The sequence below is a fragment of the Homo sapiens genome, chromosome 20 (assembly GCF_000001405.40).
Source record: "Homo sapiens chromosome 20, GRCh38.p14 Primary Assembly".
In the NCBI taxonomy this organism is placed as follows: domain Eukaryota; kingdom Metazoa; phylum Chordata; class Mammalia; order Primates; family Hominidae; genus Homo; species Homo sapiens.
In genome coordinates this window covers 20,606,610-20,626,254 of record NC_000020.11, presented here as the reverse complement: position 1 = coordinate 20,626,254, position 19,645 = coordinate 20,606,610, and the positions used below count along the sequence as shown (strand labels likewise).

Sequence of the window (19,645 nt, the reverse complement as noted above, 5' to 3'; positions counted from 1 at the left end):
TTGGTCAATGATGAATTTCTCTTTTATGGAAAACAAAATGTGACTTCTTTCAAAATAACTATGTTTTTTCAACTTTAAATTAAGATTCACAGATGTTTAAGCCTAACGGTTATTATAGTTTAAAATGGATGTTCAAGAAGTGCACATTCTCAGTGGAGAGATAAGGTGTGTGTGTATGCTGCAGAGAACAGTGTGAGATGGTAGATCAGATGTCCATGAGTGACTTGGGAATAAATGCTGGTGAGCTATTGGGGCAGAGAGGCTCATGACAGAGGCTAAAGAACCACCTGGTGTGGGTCACCTTGGACTGGGTAGTTCAGTGAGTTGAATGTGGGTGGTGGAAATAGACAGTAACTGAAGTAGGACAAGGCTCAGGGTATCCCTCATCTGCTGCCATCCCCAGCAGGAAGGCCAGGCAGTGGTAGAATGCTTCGTGTAGGCAGTCCTGGTCACTGGGTCACTTCACTGTAAACTCGTCTTCTCATTGGCGTTTTTCAGACTACCTGTTGTGACCTATTCGTAGGTCATGAAACCAACTTAGTGAGTCAAAACTAGTATTTTTTTTAAACAATGAAACAGAATAAAATAGAATAGAACAAATATTTCACAGTGTAGTTCAAGTTGTAAGGATTACTATTTCTTTGTGAAACTTCTAATTTATTTATGTGTGTACAATACTATATATACAAATGCATATATCCTTTGGTAAAGTGTCTTACTTAGGCTATGATCTGAAAAGTTTGAAGCACTGCTCTAAAGGATGTTTGTTCATTAGGTTGTTTTATTGGTTGATTTTATTTTAAACAGCTTTATTTTTATTAAAAAATCTATGTTCATTAGATAAACAAAGTCTCTCTGTATATGTAATTATAGAGGAGAAAGCAAAAGCAAATCCCTCGAAACACCACCATTAATGTTAGAAGAAAGTCTGGTCTTTCTATATGTGTATATATGGCTGGGGCCTGGCTAGCTACATAGATGAGACACCAGCAGAGAGGAGATGGGTAAGAAAGGATTATAAACAGACAGAAAGCAGGCTGGTAGAGAGACAGGGGGGTGTACAGGTGAACTGATAGACATCAGCAAACTGGCAGGCAGGTGTAGAAGAACAAACAGGTGGGTGCAGATAGGCCAGCTGGCAGAGATGGAAATAAGCAAGCAGGTATAGACCAATAGGCAGACAGAAATAGGCAGGCAGGCAGAAAAGCAAGAGGGAGGGAGGCATGGGTAGAGACAGGTGAAGGTGGAACCAGACAGACGTCAGTTGAGATTAAGGCAGGCACAAGGGGAGGTATGGAAAAGTGCCTGGGGTGGGGATGGGGACTGACGGAGTAACTATGACAATGGAATCCTTAATTCTTCATTCATTCATTCTTAATTAATGAAAATTCTGAATTTTACTTGAATTTAACAGAAGAAAAGACAGTAAAGGAAAAGTGAAGGAATTGTTTAAAATCCAATGAATATTTCTTTACCATAAGAAGTATTAATTGCTGAAAGATTTGTCTAAACTAAAAAAAAATTATAATAACGTTGAGGTGTTAGAATCACTTTTGAACTACACATGGTAATTTTAGATAGCACTATGGGTTTCCTGCTATGAAATATGAATAAATTAGCAGCCATGTATTTTCTTTAGCCCCCTCTAGTTACTAATTTCATCTTATTATACATTTATATTATAAATATAGCATCATTGGCAGTTGATTTCAGAATCCTAATGTACAGAGTTGTTTAGTCTTGATTCTGTATTTACACAGATTAATTCATCCTGTTCCATAGTTCTAAAATACTTAATTTTTCTTGCTTGGCCTTGTTTTGTCATTGAGTGTTTTCAGGAAGATGTCCTGGAACGCTTATGCCTTAAGTCCTTTTATGATGGGGAAGGTTTTTCTTTTGCCTTTCTTTTTTTTTTTTTTTTTTTTTGGAGATGGAGTCTCGCTCCCATCACACAGGCTGGAGTGCAGTGGTGCGATCTTGGCTCATTGCAACCTCCACCTCCCGGGTTCAAGTGATTCTTCTTCCTCAGCCTCCCAAATAGCTGGGATTACAGGCATGCATCACCACACCCAGCTAATTTTTGTATTTTTAGTAGAGACGGGGTTTCGCCATGTTGGCCAAGCTGGTCTCGAACTCCTGACCTCAGGTGATCCACCCGCCTTGGTGTTCCAAATTGCTAGGATCACAGGCCTGAGCTACCGCGTCCAGCGTCTTTTTCCTTTAGGTGTAAAGAGCAGCTTAGCTGGGTATAATGATCTTGGGTCATTTTTTTCCCCTTGGGAATTTGTGAGTCAAAACTTTTCTAGACATAAAAATCAGAAGAAACAGGACAATCTCACAAGGACTTCAGTTGTATAATTTGAGACTTTAGGGTAAATAGGTTTAACATATTTAAAGAAATAAAGAAATAAAAGACACCAAAATAGATGACGAATGCAGATTAGGAAGAAAATAGAACTTCCAGACATTAAAAAGACATGTAATAACTGGAATATTAAAAGAAAACCTAAATGGATAAGTTTAATTGTAGATTAGATGCAGCTAAGGAGAGAATGAGCTGGATGACAAATCTGAAGAAATTATCCTGAATGCACCTCAGAGAGACAGAGAGGTGAGAGCTGTGAGAGGTTGAGACCTGGAGGATCTGGTGAGAAGGTTCCCATCTCCCCTGGCTGCATTATTTTTTTGCTTAGTGTTCTACCACTTTTGGAAGAGTATCCTACTCTGATTGTGGATTTGTTTTTTTTTTTTTTTTGAAAGCCTATCAGTTTTTGCTCTATTTTTGGCAAAATTATTAGTTGCAATACAGACTTAGAATTAGTTTATATTCCTTTGAATTGAATGCTGTCATTAAGAAGTTTCTGTCTTCATCTCTAGTAATGGTTTTCTGGAGGAGGGGCGCAAAGTCTATCTTGTCTATTTTTGATATAACTCTACCAGTTTTCTTTTGGCTAGTGTTTGTATGGTACATCTTTCGCTAACTCTTTACTTTCAGCCTCCCCCGTCCATATGTTTTGGATGTCTTCTTATAAATTGCAGCGAAGTCTTTTAAACAGATTTTTAAATTAAATCTTACAATCTTTGTCTTTTGATTGGATCATTATTCATTACGTTTAACATAGCAACTGCTGTTAGGTTTTAGTCTGCTGTCTTCTTACTTTCTAGTTGTATTGGACCTTCAAGCTCATTGTTTTTAATATCCCATTTTTCTTCTCAAATTAAATTAGTTTTACGGTCATTTGTAGTTACTTTAATAGTTAACACATGCATTCCTAACATAAATGCTAGCATTAATTTCAACTTTTACCCTCAGTACACATGTTAGCTCTATTTACTCCTCAGTTTATATGCCATTGTTATTATTATGAATATGTAATATGTAGATATTATCCCTTTCAGAACCACTGTAAGGTTTGTTTCATCCAGTTTTATTCTTTTTATTCATATATATTTTCATATATATGTTTTGTTCATTTAGATTTATCCACATTCTCTTTTTATTGCATTTTATTGCTTCCCAAATCTCTGACCAGGGAAAATTTCCCTTCTATCTAAAGGATAAGTTTTAATATTTCCCTTAGCTCAGGTCTCCTGGTAGCAAATTTTCTCATCTGAAAATGTCTGTATTTTGCTTTCATTTTAGAAGTGTTTTATTTCTGGGTGTCAAATTCTAAATTGGCAGCCCTCTGCACATGAATCTTTTGTTGCATTGTTTCTTGGCTTCCATTATTTCTTTGAGAAGTCATCGAAAGTCACGTGGTTGCTCCTTTGGAGGAAATACATCTTTTTTCTTCTGGCTGCTTTTAAGATTTTTCTGATTATCTTTGGTTTTCAGCAGTTTTACCTGTAATATACTTCACATTTATCCTTGTTTTTCTTTGTGATTCTTAAATCTAAGGATTGATATATTTCACCCATTTTGGCTAAATTCTCAGCCACTCTTTCCTCAAATATTGTTTCTTTCCCCCATCTTTTTTTTTCCTGTTTTTTTCTGCATCTCCAGTCATTCATTGGATAACCTATTCATTGTATTTTCTCTTTCTTATCCTCTCTTCTGATTTATCCATTCTTTTATCTCTTCATAGTTCATTCTAGATATTTTCTTCTGATTTTTCTTCCAGTTTTCTCTTCAGCTATGTCCATTCTGTCCATCTCATATACACTGAGTTTTTGAGTTATTTCATTTTTAAATCCCATTACTTTGGCTTTTGATACCACAGTTATCTCGATATTGATATATTGCATGAAGCTTTGTTAAAGTGAGTTCTGCCTGTAACTGGATCCTGTGGCATGAACCTTAAGGGCAGTATTAAAACAAGTGCCAGCAACTTGAGACCAAGACCTGGATTTGTGGCTAACTTTGTAACCTTGGAAGAATACCTCTGGTGCTGTAAGCCTCGGTATCCTCATCTGTGACATTAAAGCATCTGAGTATGGGGAACCTCTCCCTCTTGTTCCCCTCAAATATAGAAATAGTCCTTAAAACTGATAAGCGAAAAGCAAATGCATTTCTCCTTTAAATTGTTTAACATTATTGGAATCTTCTCACATTAAATCAAAATTGTTGTATGGAGATGTATAAGGGAATTCCTTAATGTTAAAAAGTTCTTATAAATATGCACAATGCTACAACTTTGCCAGAGGCTCTTGTTAACATTGATAGCTGAACTCATTAGTAACCTGATATATTAGAAACCTGATATATATGATATCAAAAAAATAATAATAACAAAAAAGGAAGGAAGGAAGGGAAAGGAAGAAGGACAAAAGCAAAGAAAAGGAAAAAAAAAAAAAGAAACAAAGTCCTGATTTGTAACAGATGCTGACTTCTGTAGTAGAACCACTCCCACCATGGCTGATTCAGGCCAACACCATGACATCAGTGAACATGGAGCTGAGAAGAGGTGGGCACGACTGGTTGCCACTTGCTGTACCAGCATGTCCCTTCTAACCTATTTCTGATTTGTTGGGAAAAGGTCCAGGTTGTGCATTATAATTGTGTTTTGTAGCCAATTAAAATATTTCTATAGATATGATTTGATTTGGTTATTTTTATAGACAAATTATTCAGAATATAAAAGTTATTTTTTTCATTCTTCCTTTTTTTTTTTTTGGAGACTGAGTCTGGCTCTGTTGCCCAGGCTGGAGTGCAGTGGTGCGACCTTGACTCACTGCAACCTCCACCTCCTGGGTTCAAGTGATTCTCTTGCCTCAGCCTCCTGAGTAGCTGGGATTACAGGCACACGCCACCACGCACAGCTAATTTTTGTATTTTTAGTAGAGATGGGGTTTCACCATGTTGGCCAGGTTGGTCCCGAACTCCTGACCTCATGATCCGCCTGCCTTGGCCTCCCAAAGTGTTAGGATTACAGGCGTGAGCCACTGCGCCCGGCCTATAAAAGTTATTTTTAACGCCATTTTTTAGGGCTCTCTTATGAGAATGTCTTTCTTGCTGCTGGTAAGTTTGGTGTGCACAAAGATTTGTGGCCCTGTGTAGTATATTTATAAGCTGTGTGTTCCAAGGAAAGTGAAATGGGTGATGCTCATTGGGAATGTCCGTGATGCTGCCCTATACTGATCTGAGTGTGTTTGTAGTTAAAGGGAGTTTTCTCTTTTCCTTTCAGGCATTTTTGTTGCCTTCCTGTGAGATAGCTGTAACAAGAAAAGTAGTTCAAGTGTACAGAAAGTGGATTCTCCAGGACAAACCTGTGTTCATGGAGGAGCCAGATAGAAAAGATGTTGCCCAAGAAGATGCTGAAAAATTAGGATTTTCCGAGACTGATAGCAAGGAGGTAATTTTTTTCACTTGTCTTTTGAGTTGAGGGTAAATATATTTTAGTAAAGTATACTTGCTCAGTCAAGAGTCTTGTCAATGGGACAAAGGCAGGTGGATCTCTTTTTTATCCCATCTGATGCTTCTGAGTTGCTGAGTTCTGTGAGGATCTACCAAGGAGAGTAGCTTCTGTACTCCCATTCTAGATTGGCAGTCATCTCCTGCAACTCTAGCCAGGGCCATCTGCGTGTTGCATCTTTGTTGGTCACTGTTGCAGGAGAGTTGTTTAATAAGCCATCATATTTTACATGTCTATTTGTGAGACTAAAAAAATCACTACCTTCTCCTTGACTTGTTTAAATAAATATCTTTTGGAGAAACTAAATTGAGAATGTTTGGGTAGACTTTTGTTGTGCAGTGGCCTGTACCAGAAGCAGCTGGGTGTTACCCCTGTGAAAGGACTAACCAAACAGCAGTGTCCCTCCCCTTTAAGCCTCGCTGAGTGCTGGCCTCCTGGAGGGGCCACTGTCCATGTTAGATAAAGCTATAGGTTGGATAAATCCAAAATGACAGAGTGGAATATCTCCTGAAACAAAAGAAACTTAAGTGACATTTATATTTCTGTCATACTATTATGAAATTAATTTAAAATGTTTTAAATTTCTCACTAGAGGCATGTCACTTTAAAATATCTGTGTTCCATAATTTTAATTTTTCAATATTGGTGAAATCATTTTAATAACTACCATGAGATCTAAATGAATAGGTAAGCAAATTATCATTCATTTTAAAGGGCTGTATTCCATGCTCACTCAGTCATTGGACAAACACAACTCATTCTTTCAGCACATACTAAGTGCTGAGCACTATTTTAGGTGTTGACGGTTGAGTGGGGAGCTCTCTACCTCCTAGAACCTATTTTCATGTGAATCCTGGTGAGTTTAAGGAATTAAATATGCCAACTAAATATAACTTAGTTTATATAATATATTTAATTATATTTATAGTTAAATGCAAGTTAAACACGTGCATCTTCCACTCTGTTAATGGATCATTATCTTCTGAAGGCCTCATCTGAAAGTTCTGGTCATAAACGATCTTCCAGTTGGGGACGCACATACTCCTTCACAAGTGCAATGAGCAGAGGGTGTGTGACAGAGGAGGAAAATACAAATGTGAAAGCCGGCGTCCAGGCTTTGTTGCAGGTATGTGGCTGGCCAGGACATGAAGACCCCTCCACCGCCTACAGCTGGAGCCATTTTGTCTTTTTGTTTATTGGGGATAATGTCATATAAAGTATGGTGGTATTTGTAGCCATCTGTCAGTAAACGATAAACAGCAATTTAATTAGCTATTACATTCTCATTCTGAGTTTTCTTTCTAATTCCTACCCACAATTTACAAAAATTTTTTTCTAGTCAAAGAAGACATAAAAACTGGTTACAGTCTTTTTGAGATTATTATATAGTGAATATGAAATGGCTGATATTTAAATCTTTAAATTATCTTCCAAACACTTATGAGTAGTAAGTTATCTGGGCTCTAATTTGCAAGACAAGCTTGGCAATTATAAAATCTTATAAGTAATATTCCTCTTAAAATTGGCTGTGTTTACAAAGAACAATGACTGATGTAGTTTTTAGATTTGAATGAATATATGAAATAGAACTGACTCCATTTGGGAACATTTGAAAGAGCAACTTTGGAACATTACTTAACCTCCCCAGAGCTCAGGATTTTACCTCAAAAATGGGAATTGGGAGATTTCCTCTCAGATCTCATGTAGCTTGAAGAGTAAGTGAAAATACAGGGTGCCTCTCATTCCCTGCTCACTGCCCCCTCGCCCGCCACCCTTCATCCACATTTGGAGATGTGTCACTTAGGCCTCTCATGTAGAGGCCAGGTGTGGAGTCTGGGGAACATCTGGGAATGACATGCATTTTTCTAATTTTCTGTCATCTGTTTCTTGATAGGATTCATTTTCGTGGTATCCTTTTTTTTTTCAAGTGAATTAGCAGTTTAATATACCATACTCATGAATTTTCTCACTTTTCATTGAAAACCTACACATAATTTTGAAGTTAACTTAAAAAAGTTGAGATGATTTCACATGTGCATCTTTAAAGACTTTTGGTGCTGCTCATAAGTATGACCTGCGTCCCCATCAGAGAAACACTTGCAGGAGTCCTTGCCCTTTGTCCCTCAGTAGCTCCATCTTTTAGCTAAGGGGATCTCCAGCAACAGCCTGTGGTGGTTGCAGGTGCCAGTGATCCCCTTGGTTCAAAAGAGTGCTTTTTATTTTCTGAAAGGTTGAGTTACATTTACAGTAGGTCCTCACTAATGTCATCAGTGGGTTCTTGGAAATGGCGACTTTAAATGAAATGAGTACAGCAGGTCTTTGAGTAACATGGTTTGATTCAACATCATTTCATCATAATGTTCATGAGAAAAAAAATTTTTTTATATCTTGCTTAAAGTCATCATTTCCAACAACCTATTGATGACGTTAAATGAGGACTTACTGTCCTTGCCTGAACTGAGAAAAAACAATTTCTATTTTATTATATATAGTGCTACAGTTAAAAAAAAGATTTACTTTGGATTTAAATAGTTGGTTTTGTTCTTATATCTAATACCTTAGTCCTTTACTTTGTTTATTAAGAAAAAGGGGCCAAATGGAGGTTTGATAAGACAGTAATTTTCTTTCTTTTCTCCGACTGTGTCTCAGATGTTCAAGAGATAGTAGTTTTCTATAGTTGCTTTTGACAAATGTACTCTGGACATACTAATTTGGTTTATTTTTACCTTAACTGATACCAGCACATTAATAAGAAATACTCATGCAGTACCTTTGATGTTTTGTAAAAAGTAAAAGTATATAAAGACTCCTTACATGGGAATGTGCAAAAAGTTTTTAATTCATATTCAAGAAGCCAAATACATTGAATTAAAAGGATCTGTGTTGCAATATATCATCTGTGGCATACTACTTTCAAAAACAGAACCACTAAAATTGCTGTAATCAAAAAGCTCTTTGTTTTTGTTTTTCTTACTCGAAGGCTAGTAAATTCTTCATGACTGAAGTTATCATCATCATCAACTATATTATAGTGCTTATTTAGTGATTTTTCTTAGAAAATTGGGACATAATACGTTTTAATCTTACCTAAGATAACTTTAAAGGCTGTGAATATTTTAGTTCATCCACTTGACTTTTGATGTTAATTTTAATTTCGTCAGATTGTACATTTATTTTGATACAATACTTTAAAAAATTTTACTTATAAATGAGCTAGAGAAGCTCCGTCATGCTTTGAGTTTGTGTTATTGAACACAAAGGAGACCTAAGAGGCAATATACCTCTAGGTAGATAGAGCAGGTCTGTCCTCGTACCAAATTGACAACTCAGAATATCTGCAGATGATGGGACACTGGTGTCAACTGTGTAAATGGTAACACACCGTTATTTTGCTGTAGTGACTCAAAGCAGTAATAGTATATGATATCCTGGATCAGTGCTTCTCACATTTTTCTGCTGAGATACCCCTGATGGTAGAGAACAGTGAACTTGTATGCTAAAGGTCTGAGGCAGAGGGTAGAGTAGTTGGCTGATAATCTGAATTGTTTTTGAAATCTCAGCTTTTAATCTTAAGAATTCACTTAGATTTTGTATGCTACTGCATAATATATCTTTCATATTAAAAAAAAATAGCCTCCTGGAAGGCGTGTGATGTCGATGGCTTCGTCTGTTTCTGGACACATCACAGCTCCTTGAGGTTCTGACCCCTGTTGAGTGGTGCTGTCCATGCTTCTGTCAGCAAGGAGTTCATGTGCTGGGAGACTCAATAAGAATCACATAGTTCTGTCTGACCACTGTCTGGCCATCTATCCTCTACTCCTCCCATTCCCCCTCTACAGTTTCTCACTCATATGCAACGATCCTACTTTTTTCCCTTGTTTTCCTTTTTTTGTTGAGGGGTTGTTGAAAAGTCTTCAAAAGCTTTTCTGACTCATAAAATTTCTGTAGTTGCAATTAATATGTAATAGTGATTTTTTCTTTTCCCCTAGGGAAAGGCTTTTCAGGTGTCTCTGTATTTAAGTGATTCTAAAAGGTGAACCAAAAAAAAATTTTGAATATGTGTTGGTACCACTTGCCTTATTGAAATAGAATCTTTTGGAAATAACTGAAAAATGATTTCATTGGTAGAGTGAAATTAATATCTGTAAGCAAAATTTATTCAAATGTTTATGTTCAGTTATATTTTCTAATGTAAAGTTGTTGATTTTAAGGTATTTTTGACGAACTCTGCAAACATCTTTTTGTTGGAACCATGTGCTGAAGTTCCTGTGCTCTTGAAAGAACAAGTTGATGCTTGTAAAGCTGTTTTGATTATTTTTAGGCGCATGATAATGGAGCTTACAATGAATAAAAAGACATGGTAAGTTTATATCAAATTAATTAGTATTGTAAAACAGATGTTTCTGTTTTTCAACATAATTAAAATGTTAAGGCTTGCATTTATTTAATGTTTTTACGAACTTAACAACAAAATGTCTTTTGTAACAGTTTCTGTGAATTATGAAGAAGGTAGTTACCCAGTACTTTGACAGATCAATTATTTTCATTATATTTTTAAAAAATGTTCTTGAACAATAAGTATTTTACTTAATAGTGGATTTTTCCTTTTAAACGTTAAACATAGTTTTGTGGAAAAGCAGCAACTGGTGTTTTATAATACTCACCATAAGCTCAGGAGAGTTTGTTAATTGCCCTGAAATGCTGTCAACTGATTTTTATTGCTTCTAACTTGACGTTTTAAATTCATTTTGGAAAAGCAATTATTTTAAATGATAAATTATCAGAAACTAAATACATAGTGCAGTCAACAATCTGTTCCTGTCATTAAAACTACGTTTTTTCCTTTTCATCTTTGTTTTTGTTTGATGTTTTTATTTATAATGTCCCTACAGGTAAACAATGCATTAGATTTTTTTTTCCTGCTCTTATTTGAAAGTTATCAGCCAGGTGCGGTAGCTCATGTCTGTAATTCCAGCACTTTGGGAGGCCGAGGTGGGTGGATCATCTGATGTCAGGAGTTCGAGACCAACCTGCCTAACATGGTGAAACCCCATCTCTACTAAAAATACAAAAAATTAGCCAGGTGTGGTGGCACTTGCCTGTGATCCCAGCTACTCGGGAGGCTGAGACAGGAGAATCGCTTGAACCCGGAAGGCGGAGGTTGCAGTGAGATTGCGCCACTGCACTCCAGCCTGGGCGACAGAGTGAGACTCTTGTCTCGGGAAAAAAAAAAAAAAAAAGTCCTCACGTTACTCCATCTGATGAGGTATTTTCACTGATGCTCAGCAACAGACCAGAAAGCCTCAGAGTCACTTTCCATTTCTTCCTCTTCTCCATGTGTCATCAGCCTCTCACTTCTGCCTTTAAAATGCTCCTCAAGCCTGTCCTTTGTGTGTTCCCTCTCATTCCACTGCCACCCTTGTGCAATCAAGCTGCCCGCCCAGCTGTGGTCAGCATCCCCCTAGGTGATCTTCTGCCTTGGTTATCAGTCCTTGGAGGCCCTGCAGACCAGTGGCACCTTTCCTACCTGAAACCAGAAGGGTCCTCTGCCTATGCCTGTATTCTGGAGGCCCTTGAATCAGCAGGAAAGGGGCTTTGGAAAGTGTCTGCAGTTGGTAGGAAACCATGGACACGAGGCAGGTCTGATCGGAAAGGAACTGTAGGCCACCAAGTCCAATTCTTGTTCTTCAAAGATGAGGGAAGGGTGGACTCAAGAATCTTGGTGTGCAGAAAGTTCACAAGTACAGAAACCACAGGCATCAAAATGATACTATGATGTAGATTCCAATGTCATCTTTCCCAGACTTCTAAACTTAGCACTATTTGCCAAGTTAAACAATTGTTAAAACTGGAAATATTACAGTGATGCACAATATGATGTAAACAAATTCCACGTCAGTAATATTGACAGTAATGAGAAATGCTGGTATATGCTTTCAACTGAAATATCTGTTCCTGAATACCATAGTTTTATCAACATCATTTTTAATGTTTTTTTCCTTTGAAAACTCCCTGAGTTTTGTATACTACTGTATCAGTAGTTTTTTGATATTTTTGATAATCTTTTTATTTTGATGAAAATTCTAGGAAATAAAATTAAGCAATTCTGTTCTGTTTTTTACTAATTCATAGATTCCTAGGTGAAAGTATAGAAAAGAAAAATTGTAGAACTCGATGAAAATAGTTAACGGAAAAATGGTCAATAGAGCATAGAAAAGAGTGTGAGCAGTTTCTGTAATGGATTTTCTTGTGTATTTAAGTACCAGATAATCCCTTGCCTCCCATCCCTCCTTTCCTTCTTCACTCCTTCTTCTCCCCTCTCTCCTTACCTCCTTTTCTTCCATCTAATAAATAACTATCGAGCTTCTACTGTGAGAATATAGTGGCGAACTATGTAGACAAGGTCCCTGCCCTCATGAGGTTACATCCTCATAGGACTGAGAGGCATTAAAAACCTAGAAAACAATTTCAGAGACTCCGAAGTACTGAGAACAGTGAAGGTTGCAAAGGGGAAAGAGTCCTGAATTGGGTGTGTGTTGCTTGGCATGGACAGACGGGGAGTTTTTTCCGTCAGCTGTCAGAGAAGGCCTTTCTGAGCAGAGCCCTGAGTGAAGGGAAGGGGGAGCCTTGGGGAGGTCTAAGGGAAGGGCATTCCTGGTAGAAAGAGCAGCAGATACAAAAGCCCTGATGGGAGAAAAGGTAAAAGAAAAGTGGCTTGTTTAAGGAAGGACAAGATGATGGCCAATGTGGTGGAGTAGATGGAGTGAGAGGGAGCGTGAGAGGGGAGGAGGCAGGGGGCAGGCCGGGGCCAGGTTGCTCAGGGCCCTGCAGACCAAAGGAAGGACACCAGCTACCTCCCTGTGTGCCTGCAAGATTGTGACATAACATAATTTATGCTTCTGAAAGGCCCCTCTGGCTGCTGGAGAACATGCAGTGCAGTGCCATAGATGATGGTGGCTGAGACCAGGGCTGTAGCCAGGGAACTGTAAGAAATGGTCCTGAAATAGGGAATAACTGGTATGTAAATGAGTTGAAATCCACCTGTATGAGGAGATAGAGATCAGGAAAATAATGAAGAATGCAGGAAAATCCTCACTCCTGTGTTGGACCCAAGGATGGCACACATGCCTCATTCCATGTGCTCCAACAGAAGTTTATTACACTCTTTGAGCAGTTCTCCTTGGTGGAGTCAGTGCTTCACAAAATAGAAAGGAACAAGCAGTTGTCAAAACTGGCAGCTTTGGCAGGTTGTGAATCTTTCTACTATAAGGAAAGATTTTTCCAAATCATAGTTTTTCAACCCTTGTTTTCTTCCAGAAGACTCTGCATGCCTTTCCAAGCTTTCATAGGTTCAGAAATCAAATTAACTGTTTTTGTCAGTCATGGCTTTGATCACATTTGTGGCTTTTGATAGCAGTTGCCATGATCAAGGCTTTACTTGAAACTTACGATGTCTGTTGTTCTCATCACATTCTCATGATGGATCTGTAACTAGTTGTGTGTAAGGGATTGTTTTTCATTGTCTTATGCATCATGTAACATGAATGGGCAGTGGTGATACTAGGTGCTGCCCTTCTCTGCCCTGGCGACAGGGGCCTGGGTACCCTGAATGTGATGAGCGACAAGCTGTCCCCCAGCACTGTGCCATTGCTTCTCCCAGTTCTCTTCAAAGTCACCATCCTGCTTCAGCGTGTGTGCCCAGAAGATAGCCCTTCCTCTTCTGTGCTTCCAGAATCCGTAGGCAGGGAATAGGAATACATGGACAAGTAGCATGCAGTGCAGTGAGAATGTATAACAACAGATGACTCTGGGGACCAAAATCAAATGGGGCCAGCTACAAAGAGGGCAGGAAATCCCCACAGGTGATTTTACTGTGAGGAATTTTATGAGGTTCAGCATCATATATTGTTAGGAGAAAATGCTGTTTTGATAAGCAGAGATATGAGAAAAGTAAACGGGAACTATGATTTAGAGATCTCATCTGATTACTTTGTCCTATTCTCAGTTTTATTACTAAAGAGCAGTAAAGCCAAGGAGAAAGTAGTAAAGATTAGATGAATGGTTAGCATGTGAAACCTGAAAGGAACCAGAGTGATTTCCCTCGAGGAACAAATGCACTTCTCTTACATATGAAAGATGATGTGTTCTGTGTTCCCATAGAATCTAGGGAAAGAAAAAGTGAGCAGATACTCTGATATGAGCAATATAACTTAGGTGTAAGAAAGAAAAATGTCTTTTGGCTGTTCTGAAGAACTTATTATTGTAATTAGCAGTGTTATGTTGTCTCTGTACTATTTTATAGTCTTCAAAGTCCTTTTACATAAACCTTCTGTAAGAGACTATGAAAAATGCTGGCACATTGGAACTGAGCTGCAGTGATGGCATTTGTCTCAGTTGTGCCCTGTAGTGCAGAGTCAGGATCTTCCAGACATGAGCACTGTGCCTGTAAGTGTCCTGTAATGCAAACCCCTCCTGCCTGTGAGAGTACTGTGGCATTCCACCTTACCAAGATACTGACTGTGTGTGTCCCCAAAATAAAGGCCAGAAAGTCAGCTTCACCTCCTGTTGCAATGAGAGGGAGACCTTACAGGTTAAGTAAAACAGTGGATAGCAAAATTAAAGAGTGCTGCATATGTTCCAGTAGGTTTTCACTGAGTACCTTTAAGCTGCTGGCACAGTTGGAGAAGACGATCTTGCCTCTCTTTTTGCAAGGGGAGAAAATCAGGCTGGAATGATGTTTTATCCTGCCTGTTTGTGTGGACATGGGAGGCATGTTTTTAAAACTGTTATAACATAAGGGAGCTTATTTTGGTAAAATATGGTATTCATTATGTAATTGGCATCTGGACTTTAATAGTTTCGAGTAATACATAATTATCAATGTTGCTGAATTCTTAAGAGAATTTCTGGTACCTATAAATTAAAGTGCTTTGGAGACATGATTATTAATATGAGCTTTTATTTTGGGTGGCCCAGGGAACAGATGTTGCAAATACTACTCAGGATAACAGAAGCTGTCATGCAGAAGCCAAAGGATAAACAAATAAAGGACTTGTTTGCCCAGAGCTTGGCAGGGTTACTATTTAGGGTAAGTCTTTTTTATGAAAGCACTGCAAATGCAAGAAATGAATCAGATTTTGTAGCAAACTAGTTTTAATCATTGAGAATTTTAAAAATAATATTAAATTTAAATTTCTAGAAATTTTTCTTCTTAGCTTTGTCCTGAAGGTTATGATCTGTTCTTTACAATTAGTGCTGGGCTTTTAGGCTTTTCTCCCTCTCTGCTACCTACTTCCTCTTTTAATTTGCTCAAGGGTGGTAGGAATTAGGAAGCTCTGATGGCCTTGGTGGAAGGCTAGGTAGATTTGGAGAGGTAAAGGATGAACGAAAGTATGGGAATGGGATAAAACTTTGAGAGCCATCAGTGTGTTGGGCAATTGTATTTAAAGCCACAGGATGGGCTTACCTAGAGAGGACAATGTCCACAGGTGATGGGAGAGATGCTGAGAAAGGGTGGCCAGTGAGTGAGGAGGAAAACCAGAGGAGTGTGTATCCTGGGTGCCTGGGGATGAGTATTGGGTAGGAGGAGAGCAGCCAGTTGACCATGGGCTTTGACAGATGTAGTTGGTTGAGAATGTTCTATGGGATGAGTCCCACCTGGAGTAGATGGAGGAGAAAATGAGAGCTGGGCAGTGGAAGTTGCAAGTGTAGTTAAGGCTTTGCAGAGTTCTTGCTGTGGAAAGGAAGAGGAAAAGGGGAGCTAGCTGAAGTCGGTGGCATACATGGTGGGCGAGGTTTAAGGTGGGTGGTACTAAAGTATGTTTGCTCACCAATGGGATGGTCCAGTGAGGGAGGACAAGATGGTCTTGGGGAGACAGAGGATAAGTGAGGTCCCGGATATGGTGGAGGGCTGGGCCGGTCTTTGGTGCGAGCAGAGAGCCAAAGAGATGCCTGTGCTTCTTGCATCTCATGTGGTGAGCAGGTGAAGACCAAGAGCAGGCTGATACCTGGTGAGCTGCCTGGGGAACAGATGTGCCAGAGAGTCCTGAGCATGGCAGCCTACTGTGATGTTGCTAATATTTATGAGGACCTTAGAGTTTATGAAGCATTACTGAAAGTGAACAGTGTGAAAGGGCTCTGGAAAAATGCTACATTCTACATAAATAAAGATATTAGTACAGTGGATGGACTTGACTTTGGATAATTACATAGGTGATAGTTGTGGGGAGGAGAAATTAACTTCCCTCCTCAGTTGACCTGAAGGTGGTTTTGGAGGATATATGTTAAAAAGCATATCTAGAATATGGGTAGGACATGTAGGTAAAAGTGACAAAAGGAGAAATTATTTCTTTAAAGCTAAATATTGCCATTGTAACACAAGATAACGGAATTTTGAATAACTTAATATGAGTCAATGCTCTTGGCTTGATAAAAAATGTATGAGAGGCTATTGAAATAATTGGCCTCCTGAATATTACAATTGCTTTTACTCTGATTGCCTTGCCTGGTACATTGGATGTGTGAAGTGGCCCTAAACTTTCTTTTGCATGTGTCCAGCTTTGCTCTGCTGATGCGTGGAGGGTGGTACTGACCACTGCTTTGCTGCCTGCCTGGACATATGGACACTGCACACTTTGCTTTCTCAGCGAAGCGTCTCACTGTTGGCACCCTTTCGAGCTCCCCGTCCTGGACCTGGGCTGCCAAGTGGACATGAGCTGAAGCCAGTCTCACACTGGCAGATGCTTGGGCCTTATTCCCACCAATTGCCTGGCTCTGCATCTGTTTTGTGTGTTGGAATTAGAGAACTTGTCACAGAATTAAACAAGTATCTATTCTGGGGTTCGGATTTTTTTGTTTTGTTTTGTTTTTGGTTGGTTGGTTGGTTTTGATCTTTGGGGAAAAAAAAACTCCCCCCATGAATGGAGAAAACCTTGTCAGATATTACTTCCCTCCTCAGATGACCTGACTTCCCTGAAGCTCAGTTAACCTGACTTCCCTGAAACTTAGTTTTGAGTTCATGATTATTAATGATTTTGATGTTGTTATTATTTTGGCAGTGGTTAGGTAGATCGAGAAGGATGCTTAAATTAAGAACTAACCAAAAGGCTGGGCATGGTGGCTTACACTTGTAATCCCAGCACTTTGGGAGGCTGAGGCAGGAGGATTGCTTGAGCCCATGAATTCAAAAGCAGCCTGGGCAATAGAGTGAGACCCCTGTCTCTACAAAAAATTTTAAAAAAATTATCCAGCCATAGTGGCATGCACCTGAAGTTTCAGTTACTTGGGAGCTGAGGTGGGAAGATTGCTTGAACCCGGGAGGTTGAGGCTGTAAGCAAGCTATGATTGCATCACTGTGCTGCAGCCTGGTCAAAAGAGCAAGACCCTGTCTCAAAAAACAAACAAAAAAACCTACCATAAAAAATAGTGAAGAGAGGATGAGCTTTTTGGCATTAGGCAGATTGTGTTTCTGATCTCAGCTCTGCTACTCTCTGGCTATGTGGCCTTGAGCACATGACTTTAGCTTTCTGAGTGTCTTCCCTAATCTGTCACAATCAGGAAAGGACTTCTTCTTACCCTGCAGGGTTGTCATGAGAATCAGAGTGGGCCCATTGGGATTTGTGATCATCTGTTGACCTCCCACGTTCTTACGTGAGATGCAAGAGGCAAGAATACTAAGGGTCTGGACTTACCAGCCAGGCTCTCTATTGGGCATCATCTTGGTCCCACGCTGCCGTTAAAACATGCTATCTAATTAGTATTCATTTGATCATGTGGACTGTCTAAAATGGCTAGACACTTGATTTTTTTTTGAAAAATTGAGAACAAGGAGACTGTTAAAAGGGACGGGACATTTTTAAGTTTTTATTACCCTTTTTATCTTTTTCTAGTTCTTCTAGTGTTTGTTTTTTTTTCTGTCAGTAGATAACCTGGGCCACCAAATTTTCTTTAAGTGATGACTGAATTTGACTTAGTTTTAAATATTTACCAAATAATGGTGACTGCCTTATTGCCTTAAGTGATGTTTTAATTTATTATCAGTGCTAAATATGACCTTATGCTTGAAGCTCTGATGGTATATCAGGAAACTGTGGTCCTGCTCTTTGTAATATGAGCCATTACTTTAAAGTTACGCAGTCCCCTTAGTGTGTTGGTAGAGTGAAGTAGGAAGTGGTTGGTTAGCAAATGTTCATAAGAACAGGAGTGATTTATTAGTTAAGGTGTTTTTAAAATACATCTTGTGTGCCAAAATGTATCTGATAAAACATCAAATTTCAGTACTGAAGGAACCTTGGAGAAGCTCTTATGCACTTCTTATTTTTAATGAGAAATGTGACTACAGAAAGGCCAAGTGACTTTCCTAGGTCACAAACCAGGGTAGTCCAGGCTGTTTGTTTCCCTCTTCCTTTTAGAAAATGGTAATTGATTAAAAGGACACCCTGCCTTCATGTCCACAGGTGCCACCACTCACCACCCAACTGTATTTTACCATTTTACCATTTTGCTCTGTGCACGTGTTGTCAGTTGTGAATTATGATGATAATTCAACAGGTCTGCATACATGTTTGTAATATTTGCTAAGTTGATTTTATAAGCTGCAAGAAGTCATTCTGCGCTTGTTTCATAATTAGTCAATAAAGTGAAGCCATTATAAGATCCCCAGTATAGAGCATCTCATTACACCAAGACATCTGCTTTTATCCATGAAGCTGGCGCTATATCCAAATGTGAGTCTGAGTCCTAATAACATTATCAGTCTCTACTTTCTTCTCTTACTTGGCTCAGATTATATTTATTGATCTAATATTTATTAATTTTATTGTCTATAGGTACGTTATGGCAATGGCCTCAAATTCATCTTGAAAGCAGGGGTATAAAAATTAATAGGAGATGGCATTTTAGTCATAATAAAATATTTAATAAAGATAAAATTATTTTATTTTCTTTCATATTTTTAGTTTTACCAAGTTCATACATGTTAGAATCAGACTTTAAATATAAGTGGTTAATATCTTGTTTTTTATATAATTAACTACTTTAGTCCTACTTTAACATTTTTATGTTCTTAAAAAGTGGTAAACACAAATTGAAACAGAGAACAGGCGTATTACAGAAGGACCACTTTAAATAAGATTTTCCAGGTGGTCAGAATAGGCCTGTCTGATTTTATAGACTGATTTCTGTTTATCAGAGTTTTCCTGTATCTATGTTAAAGAGTAAATTCCATTAAAAAATCTATATATAATTTGGGGAAAAAAATTAAGAAGTGAACTCACCTACGCAAAGAAGAATTCCTGACAAGAGTGGGAGCCTATTTGCATCTGGGTTGGGCCAATGCACATGCAAGCTGGTATCTTAACAAGTGCATTTCTCTTTGACACCAGGCTATGGGACTTACATAGACTTTGGGTATAAGGATTCCTTTTCACAAGGCTTAGGAAAGCATTTGTGGCTCATTTGAGATGGACTTGGCTATGTAGAGGCACTTCTTTCAGGGAAGATATATTTGGATTTGAATTTTAAAGGATGGTGAATATTTTGGCAGAGGTAAGGAATGGGGCAATTTTATGGGAAGGAAATATCCAGCATATAGGCATAATTGTCTCATAGGGCTGTCCAGGTGACCAGTTGTAGTGCTGTGGACTATAAGACTGGGGGCAGACACTGATAAGTGAATAGACTGTGAAGGAAAGGTGTGATAGGTGCATTGATGGGGGGAAAATGCAGGGACCTGGAGGACACTTCCTGGAGGCTGGGAGGTGGTGGTGGGGAGATAGTCAAGGATACCTTCTTGG

At 38.6% G+C, this 19,645-nt stretch overlaps 1 protein-coding gene across 20 annotated transcripts in view; it reads left to right on the top strand.

Annotated features, from left to right (window-relative positions):
* The window catches only part of RALGAPA2 (Ral GTPase activating protein catalytic subunit alpha 2), a 323,115-nt gene that overhangs the window by 86,390 nt on the left and 217,080 nt on the right, over positions 1-19,645 (top strand). For 18 of the 20 annotated variants that reach the window (XR_007067471.1, XR_937111.3, XR_007067470.1 and 15 more), the window contains 4 exons: positions 5,625-5,792; positions 6,841-6,978; positions 10,064-10,212; positions 14,829-14,940. Coding sequence is in view for 12 of the 20 variants with exons in the window: in XM_011529310.3 (XP_011527612.1) it covers positions 5,625-5,792; positions 6,841-6,978; positions 10,064-10,212; positions 14,829-14,940 (567 nt within the window). In the remaining 8 variants the exon portion in view is untranslated. Of the gene's footprint in view, positions 1-5,624; positions 5,793-6,840; positions 6,979-10,061; positions 10,213-14,828; positions 14,941-19,645 lie in introns of those variants that run through there. The other 2 variants (XM_047440323.1, XM_047440322.1) reach the window with 2 other exon arrangements.